Source organism: Homo sapiens, chromosome 3 (assembly GCF_000001405.40).
Source record: "Homo sapiens chromosome 3, GRCh38.p14 Primary Assembly".
NCBI classification, from domain to species: Eukaryota; Metazoa; Chordata; class Mammalia; order Primates; family Hominidae; genus Homo; species Homo sapiens.
The window spans coordinates 120,360,880-120,373,367 of record NC_000003.12 but is presented as its reverse complement, the minus strand read 5'-3'; the positions used below and the strand labels follow the sequence as shown (position 1 = coordinate 120,373,367).

The 12,488-nt window shown below is 38.4% G+C and overlaps 1 long non-coding RNA gene and 1 pseudogene across 5 annotated transcripts in view, besides 1 other annotated feature; one reads left to right on the top strand and one right to left on the bottom strand.

Moving 5' to 3' along the window:
* BTNL12P (butyrophilin like 12, pseudogene) overlaps positions 1-12,488 on the bottom strand; it is a 73,965-nt pseudogene that overhangs the window by 50,011 nt on the left and 11,466 nt on the right. For 2 of the 3 annotated variants that reach the window (NR_187255.1, NR_187254.1), the window contains exons 2-3: positions 6,513-6,908; positions 5,283-5,567 (exon numbers count right to left, since the gene is read on the bottom strand). The product of NR_187255.1 is annotated as a butyrophilin like 12, pseudogene, transcript variant 2 (transcript). Of the gene's footprint in view, positions 1-3,319; positions 5,568-6,512; positions 6,909-12,488 lie in introns of those variants that run through there. The other variant, NR_187256.1, reaches the window with a different exon arrangement.
* On the top strand, positions 5,103-10,837 carry LOC124906274 (uncharacterized). Of its 2 annotated transcripts, XR_007096033.1 has the most exons (4): positions 5,103-5,140; positions 5,370-5,490; positions 6,825-6,972; positions 7,148-10,837. It is a non-coding gene; the product is annotated as an uncharacterized LOC124906274 (long non-coding RNA). The 2 variants fall into 2 exon arrangements; XR_007096032.1 differs by lacking the exons at positions 5,103-5,140; positions 5,370-5,490 and adding an exon at positions 5,764-6,004.
* Positions 5,304-6,503: an enhancer, noted in NCBI's record as "CDK7 strongly-dependent group 2 enhancer chr3:120085712-120086911 (GRCh37/hg19 assembly coordinates)". NCBI's record gives its function as "activates an origin of replication core promoter dependent on BRD2, BRD4, P300/CBP, MED14 and CDK7 cofactors, with strong dependence on CDK7, by STARR-seq in HCT116 cells {active_cell/tissue: HCT116}" and the evidence as "EXISTENCE:reporter gene assay evidence [ECO:0000049][PMID:35650434]".

The following is a 12,488-nucleotide window of genomic DNA, read 5'->3' as shown; positions in this document are numbered from 1 at the left end:
TCACTGGCCATCAGAGAAATGCAAATCAAAACCACTATGAGATACCATCTCATACCAGTTAGAATGGCAATCATTAAAAAGTCAGGAAACAACAGGTGCTAGAGAGGATGTGGAGAAATAGGAACACTTCTACACTGTTGGTGGGACTGTAAACTAGTTCAACCATTGTGGAAGTCAGTGTGGCGATTCCTCAGGGATCTAGAACTAGAAATACCGTTTGACCCAGCCATCCCATTACTGGTTATATACCCAAAGGACTACAAATCATGCTGCTATAAAGACACATGCACACGTATGTTTATTGCGGCATTATTCACAATAGCAAAGACTTGGAACCAACCCAAATGTCCAACAATGATAGACTGGATTAAGAAAACGTGGCACATATACACCATGGAATACTATGCAGCCATAAAAAATGATGAGTTCATGTCCTTTGTAGGGACATGGATGAAATTGGAAATCATCATTCTCAGTAAACTATCGGAAGAACAAAAAACCAAACACCGCATATTCTCACTCATAGGTGGGAATTGAACAAAGAGATCACATGGACACAGGAAGGGGAATATCACACTCTGGGGACTGTGGTGGGGTGGGGGGAGGGGGGAGGGATAGCATTGGGAGATATACCTAATGCTAGATGACGATTTAGTGGGTGCAGCGCACCAGCAAGGCACATGTATACATATGTAACTAACCTGCACAATGTGCACATGTACCCTAAAACTTAAAAGTATAATAAACAAAAACACGTTAAAAAAAAAGAAAGATCTCAAAGCAATAACCTAATCTTTTAAATGAAATTACTAGAAAAAGAAATTAAAACTAAACCCAAGGCAAGTAGAAGGAAGGAAATAACAAAGGCTAGAATGGAAGTAAATGAAATAGAGAATAGAAAAATAGGGAAAATAAACAAAACCAAAAGTTAAAGAATTAAAAGAAAAATTAACACCAATCCTGCACAACCTTTTCCAAAAAACAGAAGATAAGGGACACATTTCAACTTATCCTATGAGGCCAATATTATCCTCATAACAAAACCAGACCAAGACATCACAAGAAAACTACAGACCAATATCTCTTACAAATGAATACAGATGCAAAAAGCCTCAACAAAATACCACCAAACTGAATCTACCAACATAGAAAAAGACTTACATACCATGACCAAGTAGGGTTTATCCCAGGAATACAAAGTTGGCTCAATATACAAAAATTAATTAGTGCAATATATCATATTAATAGAATAAAGGACAAAGCCCACATGATCATCTCAACAGATGCAGAAAATACATTTGGCAAAATCCTAAATTTATTCATGATAAAAACACTCAGAAAACAAGCAACGGAAGAGAACTTTCTCAACCTGATATTGTTCATTTACAGTAATAACAACCTACAGCTAACATCATAGTTGATGATGAAAGATTGAATGCTTTCTCCCAGAGATCTACTCTTAGTTTTTCTATTCAGCATTGTACTGGAGGTTCTAGCCAGGGCAATTAGAAAGAAAATTAAATACAAGTAATCAAGATTGGAAAGGAAGAAGTAAAACTATTTCTATTCATAGATAACGTGGTCTTCTATATAGAAAATACTAAGGAATCCACAAAAATCTACTGTTATTTCTTTCTATTAGCAATAAGCATTCTAAAATGAAATTAAGAAAACAATTACATTTCCAAAGCATGAAAAAGAATAAAATACTTAGGAATAAATTTAACAAAAGAATTGTAAGACTTATACATGGAAAACTGCCAAACATCATTGAAGATAATTTAAAAAGACCTAAACAAATGGAAAGACATCTGTGTTCATAGATAGAAGACTTAGTATCATTAAAATGCCAATACTCCCAAAATGAATCTATAGATTCCATACATTCCTTATTGAAACCCCAGGTGCCTGTTTGGCAGAAATTGACAAGTTCATCCTAAAATTCATATGAAAATGCTGAAATAGGAATAATCAAAGCTATCTTCAAAAAGAAGAACAATGTTAAAAGAACACACTCCTCTGTGACAAAACTTACTAAAAAGCTATAGTAGTCAAGACAGTGTGGTACTGGCATAAGTACAGACACATAGATCAATGGAATATAATTGAAAGCCCAGAAATAAACCTTTACATTTATAGTAACTTGATTTTCAATAAGGCCATCAAGACAATTCCATGGGGGAAAGAATAGCCTTTTGAATAAATGGTCCTGGGATGTTGGACACCTATCTCATGCCAAAAACAAAAATTAATTTAAAGGAATCATAAGCCTGGAGGTAGGAGCTAACATTATAAAACTCTTAGAAGAAAACATATGAGTAAATCTTTGTGACTTAGATTAGGCAATAATTTTTTAGATATAACACCAAAAGCACAAGTGACAAAAAAAAAGATAAATTGTACTTCATCAAAATCAGAAAATTTACTGCTTCAAATGACATCATCAAGAAGTGAAAAGACAACTCAGAAGGGGAGAAAATTTCTGCAAGTCAAATATTTGATAAGGAATTGGTATTCAAAATATATCAACTCTTACAACTCAATAATAAAAAGATAAATAACCCATTTTTAATGGAGAAAGAATTTGAATAGACATTTCTCCAAAGAAGATGTACAAATAACCAGTAAGCATATTGAAAGATGCCCAAGATTAGCCACCAGAGAGATGCAAATCAAAACCACAAATGTCACTCACATCTACTAGAATGACTAGAATAAAAAAGATCATGAGTGCTGGCAAGGATGTTGACAAATCAGTAACCTCATACATTGCTGGTAGGAATGTAAAATTGTGCAGCTGCTTTGGAAAATAGTCTGGCAGTTCCTCAAAGGGTTAAAAAATAGTTACCATATGACCCAGCAATTCCACTCATAGGTATATACCCAAGATAAATGAAATTTAACATAAATTTCCACATAAAAACATATATGTGAATGTTCACAGCAACATCATTCATCAGAGACAAAAAGTGAAATCAACCCAAATCTTCATCAACTGATGAATGGATAAATAAAATGTGGTAATATCCATATAATGGAATAAACTATTATCCAGAAATAAAAAGAAATGAAGTGCTAACATATGCTACAACATGGATGAACCTTTAAAACATTATGCCAAGTAAAAGAAGCCAGTTTAAAAAGACCACATATTGTATAATTTCAGTTATATGAAAGATCTAAAATAGGCAAATCTATATAGCTAGAAAGTAGGTTAGTGGTTGCCTAGGACTGGGGGATATGGTGAAGGGAATGGAGAGTGACTGTGAATGAGCATGAGGTTTATTTTTAGGGTAATTAAAATGTTCTAAATGATAAGAGTGGTGACGATTTCACAATTTTGTGAATATACTAAAACAATTAAATTGTACACTTCAAATGGGTGAATTTTATGGCATGTAAACCATTTTTCATAAAGATATTTTTTAAAGATTTAAAAAATATAGCTTTTTTGGACTAAAAATAATATATGTTCATTATAGAATGTTGCATAAAACACAAGTACAAAAGAGAAAACAAAAAATGCCTACAATCCTATCATTCAGAGGTTACCAGTAATTACTGTTCATATTATGATAATAATAATAATAATACATCCTATCTTTTAAATCTCCATATAGTTAAACAACTGGGGCTCATGCTACACATACAAGCTACTATTTTGCTTTTTAAAATTTTAACATGATAGTGCGGGTATTTTCCCAAGTCATTAAAAATTTAAATAAATACTCTTAACGGTTGTAAATATTTACGGCTAGTTACTGGGAGATCCAGGATTGCAATAGTGTTTTGAATGCTTTGATTAATTGCCAGGCCCCTACAGACTAGACCTGAAAGGTAACTGCCCAACCTTTGCATGAAGTCAGACTCCATTAATACTTCTTGTATAGAGTGTGTATTACCTTGGACAATTATCTCACCTCTCTGGACTTCTGTTTAGTCACCCCTATATGCTGTGATTGGTAGATGATGGCCAAAGTCCCTGCCAGAGCTAACCCTCCAAAGAAGTCTTAATAAGATCTCTAAGTCAGGGATACAGGAAAGTAGAAGGAATTAGCTCACCGTGCAAGTGTATTCATCACCATCCCTTCCTTCTTGATGGAGAGGCAGGTGAGGTCACAGGTGGCAGAATAAATCAATGACCTCAGCCTGAGGCTACAGATACTTTGACACAAGGAACTTAAGGCCCACGAGTCAACCACATAGTGGAATGTGCCCAGGCCTTTGTTAATAATTAGACCCAAGTTCAAGTCCTGGGTTGTAAGACTGTCAGCTGTGTAGCCTTTGGTAAATACTTAACCTTCTCTCAGCCTTGGTTTCCTCCTCTGCTAAATACTGTAATGTTAGTATCTAACTCAGAGGTCATTGTGGGGTTAAATACCTTATGCAAAAGTACCTGGGTCCACCCTAGCATATGGTATGTGTTCAGTAAATACCTGTTCTTTTTCTAACATGCTTTTTTTTTTCAAATTCCTAACTTGAAAAAGTTTAGACAGTTTAGAAGTAATAGAACAGCTACACAAAAAAGTATCCATCAAAATTTCTCTGGAGGACTCAATTAAGATTCCCCAGAATGTAGACAGCCTTTGATACGGCAACTTAAAGACTGCTCAGAATTTGAGTGGGAGCAGTGACTCTATTTCTTGCCTCCTTGCTTATTACACAGGGAATCCCCTTCTCCAAACATATATGACTTAGATCTATTCATGCAGTCTATAGTCTTAGATCTGTAAGTGCAGTGTGGTATATGCATAAGAAAAATGAAGTGCATGAACTTTAGATTCAGAAAGAATGGGTTTGAATCCTGAGTCTTGTGCTTGTTAGCTATGTCCTTAGTCAAATTATTTAACTTGTTGGTTTTCTCATATAGAAGAGGGGCAGTAATAACAATTAAAATAGAGGTAAAGATTAAAGTGACATATGTAAAGTGCCAGGCACATGGTGAGAGGCTAATAAATGGCCACTATGACTACTCAGCCTGCCACGTCATAAAGCTGATGTTCTGTGCAGAGGAAAAGAAACCTCATCAATAGTAAGAGCCACATCTATCAGGAGAAAGCTGTCAGTCTCTGAAGCATGTTCTTTTTTCAAGCCCAGAGAGACTCCACTTCACCACCTTATCTTGCCCAAGGCTCCAAGCGTATGTTCCTGATGCTTCTTTAAATCCCCAAAGTGCGAAGGCATGCCTGATATATTTGACATTCAGTAAATATTAATGAATGATGACTTTTCTGTGGTGAAATGCACCCCACTTTCACTGTTCCTTTCGGATTTGCACTTACTTGGATACTTGTGGATGATTCTGAAGAGCTGGTTGTTCACATCTGTCTCTGTTATGTGGCAGAGATATTTCTCATTTAACTTGACAGGGTATTTCAGGATGGAGAACACCCTGTAGAAGCCATTCATCTGCTCCTCCAGGATTTCCACGATGCTGTGGTTGCTCAGGTCCCTCTCTGTCCGGTCCAGCCATGTCACAATGGGCGTGAGGTACTAGTCCTTTGAGATGCATGTGGCCACATCCTCATCATCAATCCTGTCAAATTGCACCTGGGGCATTTCAGAGTCTGATTGGAAAAAATAACAAAACAATTAGTTCCTTTTTTATTTCAGCCCCAAGAGGCTCAGGCTAGCAGAATACATGCTCTCGCTTTTTACATTAACCCGTTATGTAGGCAATATATCTTGAGATTCACTGTAGTTAAAATTTTGATCCAAGCATAGTAAGAGAAGAACAGGATACATGTATGCTCCTGCCTTTCAGTTCTCATCTATCACTGCTGCCTTTATCTTTTGGAATCTTCCCCTCTTTGAGTGGATTCATTCCAGATTCACCACTGAACTCCACATACCCTGCTGAGAACCACAGAAGATAACGAATTATTCTCACAACCACCACCTTCTCATGTCTTCCAACTCTTATCCTGGAGGAATTCTGCCATGCCTTCCCCAATCCCTGAAAGTCTCTGATGGGGGAAAAGCTCTTCATGCAATCCTGTGAAGGGTAAGGATCCCTGGATCACTACGGAGATCCACTGATCCAGTCCAACCTACATTTTAATAGTGAGAAAAGTGAAGCCTAGAAAAGCTAAATGAGTTACCCAAAGTCATCCAAAATTAGAATATGGGCCTCCTGACTCCCAATGCGGGGCTCTTCTCACTAAACCATATGTCATATCTCAGCGTTTTCATGTAAGACTGTTATATCATATTTTGATTTTTCAGTGTTACAACTTGTTTGGAGAGTTTTTGATAGACCAGTGCTTGTTGTTGTTGTTGTTGTTAATGTTTTGTTTGTCTGTGTGAATGAATAATGTATACAGGTATAGATACAGCATCTTTCGCTCAGGGCAATATTTTTAGCTAAGACGAATTGACGTGTTGGGAATAAGAAGAACTGATAATAATTTGAGTAAAAGGGGAAAAGTGAGAGAACTAGATAAGTTGTCACTGTTATAACTTATGAATAGAGACAGAGCTTGAAATCAAGTTCATTCAATAAATTCCCTTACCTTCTACTATTAGCTTAATTGTACTTTCACCTCTTCCATCTGGTGTGATGGCTGAGCACTTGTAGATAGCTTCATCCATGAAATCCACATTTCTTAGTAAAAGTGATAGAGTCCCCTCAGAAATTTCAGCCTGGTCCACAGATACTCTTCCCTCATACAAGGAATTTTGATCTTCTAGTTGCTCTGTGTTATTGTGAAACTGGTAAACCAACTTCGAGAAAACTTCAAAAAAATCAAGGTACTTGAAAAGGAGGTAATATTCTTTATTATCCTCTACCTCATATGCCTGTTTGATGTCTTCTCTTTCCCAAGAAAACTCAAGATTTTCAGTGCCCTTCACAAAGGAGAAATGACAGGAGAGGGTAACATCAGTGAATGGGTGGGCCCGCAGCTCCTCTGTAGACACCGAGAATGTCAAAGAAGAAATGAAGTTAATAAAGACCAATCAGCACTGCATCAGGTAAGATTTAATAAGCGATAAAAGAAATCACTCTAGCTATTTCATGCATAAGGGATTTAGTACAGAGAACTAGACACTTACAAAATCATTGGGAGGCTGAAGAAATGAGCCCAAAGAAGGGCATGGAAGGTGAGATGTGTAATATCTGTGTCTGTCCTCCCCCACATTATGCTAGGCTCAACAACACTGCAGTACTGGTCTTCTGGAAGAACAGTTGCCTCTGCCTTATCAAGAAGCTGGTGATGCAGGAAGTCATCACCACGGGTGTTGCTTCCATAGCCAATCTGCACCTGCTAGATTGCACTGGCCAATGAAAGAATGCGTCATGCACTATAACCTTTCTCCCCACTTCAATCAGTTGCCATTTAATTCTTGAGAAAATATATCTGATTGGCAGACTCTAAGTCATTCCCAGAACCCTAACTGCAAAGGAATCTTGGAAATATGTTTTACTCTCCAGTTTCAGCAATCCAGGAATGCACATCAGAAAGGCGGGAAAAGATGTTCAGTAAGTAAGTCTATTCTACCTGCCACAAATATCTACCAATCTGGGCAGAGCTATCCATAGCAGGACCTGAGGGCTATAGGGAATATAGCCATGCACTATGTATATTCATAGAATAATGACATGGAATAGAATGCTGATGTGTTATATTTGCAAGAAAGCTTACAGATCCTCTGATTCAATGTTTTTGAACTATTTTCCCCAAAGCCCACCTCATAGGTTGCCACTGATGACCAGGTGAAGAGCAAGTCAGTGAGATCTCCACTCCCTTAACACTTCAATCAGAACAATCCCTCCCTAATTTACTTTATAAATTAGGCTTCCAAATTGAATTCTTCTGTAAAATGTCTCTGCTACTAAAAGACAAAACTGATTCCCAGGAAGCACAATTGCTTAAGATCACAAAGTAAGATACTAGTACCACTGCAAAAAGAAACGAGACCTCTCAGAATTTAAAAAGAACCATTAGGGTCATGGTTACCAAACTTTCGAACATAAAAGACTAATTAAATTCTCAGCTTGAGTAAGAGAGAATAATGAGACTTAAACATTATGAAAATATGGACTCCAGTAGGAAGGCATTTTTTTTCCTTCTAGAGACACTATGCAGGTAACAAACAAGCAGTGGAAAGGCAGAAGAGTTGGTCAGTGTGAGCCTAAATAAGACTACTATTTGATATTTCATCTCACCTCATTATATCAAATAAGGTGAGATGAAATAGAAGGCAAAATAGGTTATGCACCAAGACCAAATTCAAATGGTAACTTAGTAGACAAGGAAGCTTCCAAGCCATCAGCCAAGCAAAGAACAGCCTAAGAGACATGTAATAGAGAACATTCCAGATGAATGACAGATACAATCTGCTCATTCCAGTAGTGATAATCACGTGGCTGTTGATGGGGGTGCCCAGATATTTGGTCAGACATTATTCTGAATGTGTCTATGAGGGTGTTTCTGGATAAGATTAACATTTGAGTGGACAGACTGAGTAAAACAGATTGTCTTCCCTAATGTAGGTGCCCTCATCTAATCAGTTGAAGTTCTAAATAGAACAAAAAAGCCAACCTTCCTTCAAGTAAGAGGGAACTCCTGCTTTTACTGCTTGAGCAGTCTTTTCCTGCCTTCAGACTCAGACTAGAACTATACCATAGACTGTTCTGCACCTCCAGCTCGCTGACTGCAGATCTTGGGACTTCTCAACCTCCACAAGCACAGCTGCATGACCCAATTTCTTCAAAAAAAAAATCAGGCTCTCTCTCCCTCTCTCTCTACCCCCCCGCCAACCCCCTCTCTCTCTCTTTTCCAGTTTGTTCTGTTTCTCTGGAGAACTCTGACCATATCTGGTAACATTTATCAAGTATTTACAATGTTCTAAACATATTCTAGGAGCTTTTCTGGCATTAATTCATTTAATCTGATACTAACACTGAGGCAGGTAATTATCCCCAATTTACTACTGAGAAAACCAAGGCACAGTGGGTGAAGTAAGTTACTCAAGGATACACAGCTAGTGAGCAGTAGAGCTGTCATTCAATGCTAGGCAGTCTGACTCCAAAGCTCTCCAACTGAAATGTGCTCTTTTGTCTCCTAATAGTAGGCACTGGTTCGAAGTTTGATGAATGAATCAGTGACTAATTAAATGAATTAATGACTACAAGACAGGCTGGAAAGGAGGCAAAGAGAAATAACTTGCATAACCTTTAGAAGGATTGATTTGCAAGTAAAAACCTGAAGTGCTTTCTTGCTCAAATTATTTTTCTGAAGTGGTTATCACCAAAAAGCAGTGTTTTATAATTTTTGTGGGACTTTATTTTTGTAAAATCCTGGTCTGACGAATTGTAAATCCAAGTTCTAGTTCTAAGTACCCCCTTACTAATCATTTGGCATCAGGAAAGGCACTTAATCTCTCTGAGTTATAGCTTCCTTGTGTATAATTAGAATTATAACACCTGTCCGAGGTTTTAATGAAATACCATGGGATCTTACAGACTGTTTTTATATGACATGGCTCGGTCATTTTCCAGAAGGACAGGAGTAAAGTAGATGAGTGGACACTTTAGTAAGCTGTTCCCCCACCCCAATGTCTCTCACAAGAATATGTAGTTTACCCATGAGTGGTCCTTGATTCTACCTTCTCCAGTTGTACTCAGGAGTTCTTGCTACAGTTGTACCCTTTCTGGCCCAAGGGAAGGGGTCTCAAACTCAGGGATCCAAAGGCTCTAGCCAATGCATCATGAAACACAACTTCCTGCTGATGTAACTAGTATAAAGGACAATTTCTAACTGATATGTCTGCAGATGGCCCTGCTTGAATCTGAGTAACTCCTTTGTCTATTTCAATCTGTGTTATTTCTAAACCATGTGTCTTTAGCTTCCCAAGCCTTAAGAGGCCGAGGCAAAAGCTCAGAAAAAGGTTAATAATGTGGGAAAACACTTAGAAAAATGTAGAAAGATACTGTCTAACGCATCTGCCATGGTACCTAGCACATAGTATTAAGTTCTTAATATTGCTACAAAATGTGAGATTAGAATCAACAGATCATTCTCTTTCTTGCCTACATACATACCTATTCCTTTATTTGGTTGAGTTTTTCCTAACTATGAGTGGATTACCACCTTACTTTTCTTACTGCTCTCCTCTACCCGCACACACACACACACCCCCCAACACCCAGCCCCCCCGCCCTCCTCCCCACCACACACACACACACACACACACACACACACACACAGAATAATCAAACATCAAGAGAAAAGAGCCAGCAAATGTAACCTGGGTTGACCAGGCCTTGTACTAACTCCTGAGTTGAACTCTGGAGCCTGAGGATGCCTTCAAGCTGCTGCCACCTTTAAGGGACTGACAGAACTGCTGCAGGTCTCTGGAAGATGGCATAAGCCTGAAGACTATAAATGTGTTTGATCACTTTATGGAGTAGTTATACAGCCAGATTTGGGATACACAGTGTTTTTTTAAAAAACTTTTGCTTATGGACTTTTGGTTAGCTGAATCATATTAACATTTCCAACATCTGTATATTGTTTGTCACCAAGAGAGTTGAAGATTTGAGTACAAAAAGACTTACATAAACCCTTTGTTGACTGCCCATCCAGATTTTTCAGGACAGACCTGATTTCAAATATTTTGGATGCTACACTATAAATTGGCACTTGTCAGAGTCACTTGAAAGTGGGTGTCTAGTATTGTTTTGTTTGGTTTGGTTGGGAGGTTCACACTATAGATACGACTGAGATTAGTCATTCAGATATGGCTTCAAATGGACAAACCAAATTGGGGGGGGTGGGGTGGAAGTTTTTCTCATTTAAAAAAAGAAAGCAGAATAAACAATAATGATTTATAATATGTGTCTGTTATTTTCTCCCATCTGCTCTTAACCATTTCCTATGAAGTAAATATAGATTTTTAAAATAAATACAATTTTTCCTGTAAAAAATAAATTTGTTATTTTCATATAACAAATGAAAAGAATGAGATTCAGAGAGATTATGTCGTTTATCTCCAAACAAATGTTTTCCTCACTATCCCCAAAGCTATTTCATAAATGCCCACAAAGTTTTTTGAAAAATGACTCACCTGCACTGTGAAGAAGTATGTTAACAGTCACCAAAAAGAAGGACATTTTGTAAGGAACAAAATGAAAGGCAGAAAATTTGGTTCAGCCAAGAAAGTGTGGGGCAGCATAACCATGGAACCACCTGCTGCTGGGACCCAGGATGGCCCTCACAGACACCCCCTTTAGATTCCATGCCCACCAGTGCACCTTTAGTAGACAGGCTTCCAGCACCTCAGTACCCCATGTGGGAATGTCTACTGAGTCAAGTTCACACAGCCTAATCTTGTGCATGTTTGTTTGTTTTGCTGTACGAACCAGGAGCTCTCTTTCTATAATATGAAAATCTGCCTCTCTAACTGAGTCACAGTTGAAGTCATTTGGATCTGAAGTCAGCCCTGAAGATATATGAGGGACAAAAGACAGTTTCCTATGCTTCCCAAGCCATGTTCACTGGCCTTTCTGGATGTTGCTGGTGCAAGTCTAAAGTGGAAGACATTTAACTAGTAGATATACAAGTGTATCTTCGAAGTCATGGTGCAATGCTTCCCAAATGGAGAAAAATAACCAAGAGACAGTACTAAATGAGTCTGCCCAGCCAGGGCCATAGTTTAATAGGAATGGCATTAACAAGCTCAGGATAGCTTTGGAAGCGGTAGAAGAAAGGAATTAGCAACTCTCAGCCCTTTCAAGAAACTCTGACACAAATGCACATCTACATATAGGTAAAGCCACTGATTCTCACAGAATCCAGCCTCCCTCTCTGGCCTCATCTCTCACTATTCCCCCGCACTTTACGTCCCACCTACCATCCCAAAGTTGTGGTGCTGTCCAAATCCTCTGTGCCTGGCACATCCCTTATCACCACTGCCTTCATCCACTCCCCAACTACTCACTTACTCAAAACTCTGCCCAAGGCTGGGCTCCGTGGCTCGTGCCTGTAATCCCAGCATTTTGGAAGGCTGAAGCAGGCAGATTACTTGAGGCCAGGAATCTGAGATCAGCCTGGCCAACATAGCAAAACCCCGTCTCTAATAAAAATACAAAAAATTAGCTGGGCCCTGGTGGTGCATGCCTGTAATCCCAGCTACTCGGGTGGCTGAAGCATGAAAATCGCTTGAACCCGGTAGGCAGAGGTTGCAGTAAGCCGAGATCGCGCCACTGCACTCCAGCACGGGTGACACAGTGAGACCCTGTCTCAAAACAAAACAAAACAAAACAAAACAAAAAAACAACTCTGCCCAAGTAGCACTTCTCAAGCCCTCCCGCACCCATATGCAGTTCATCATTCCTTCTTCTTTATTTTGAACATACTTTTATTGCTGCATGAATCACACTGCATGACAATTATTTCTTTACTTGTTCTTTGGCCCCTCACTATTTCCAAGAAAACAAAGGTAACATAATCGTACTCTCTCAGCATATGTTCGTTTCTCCTCTT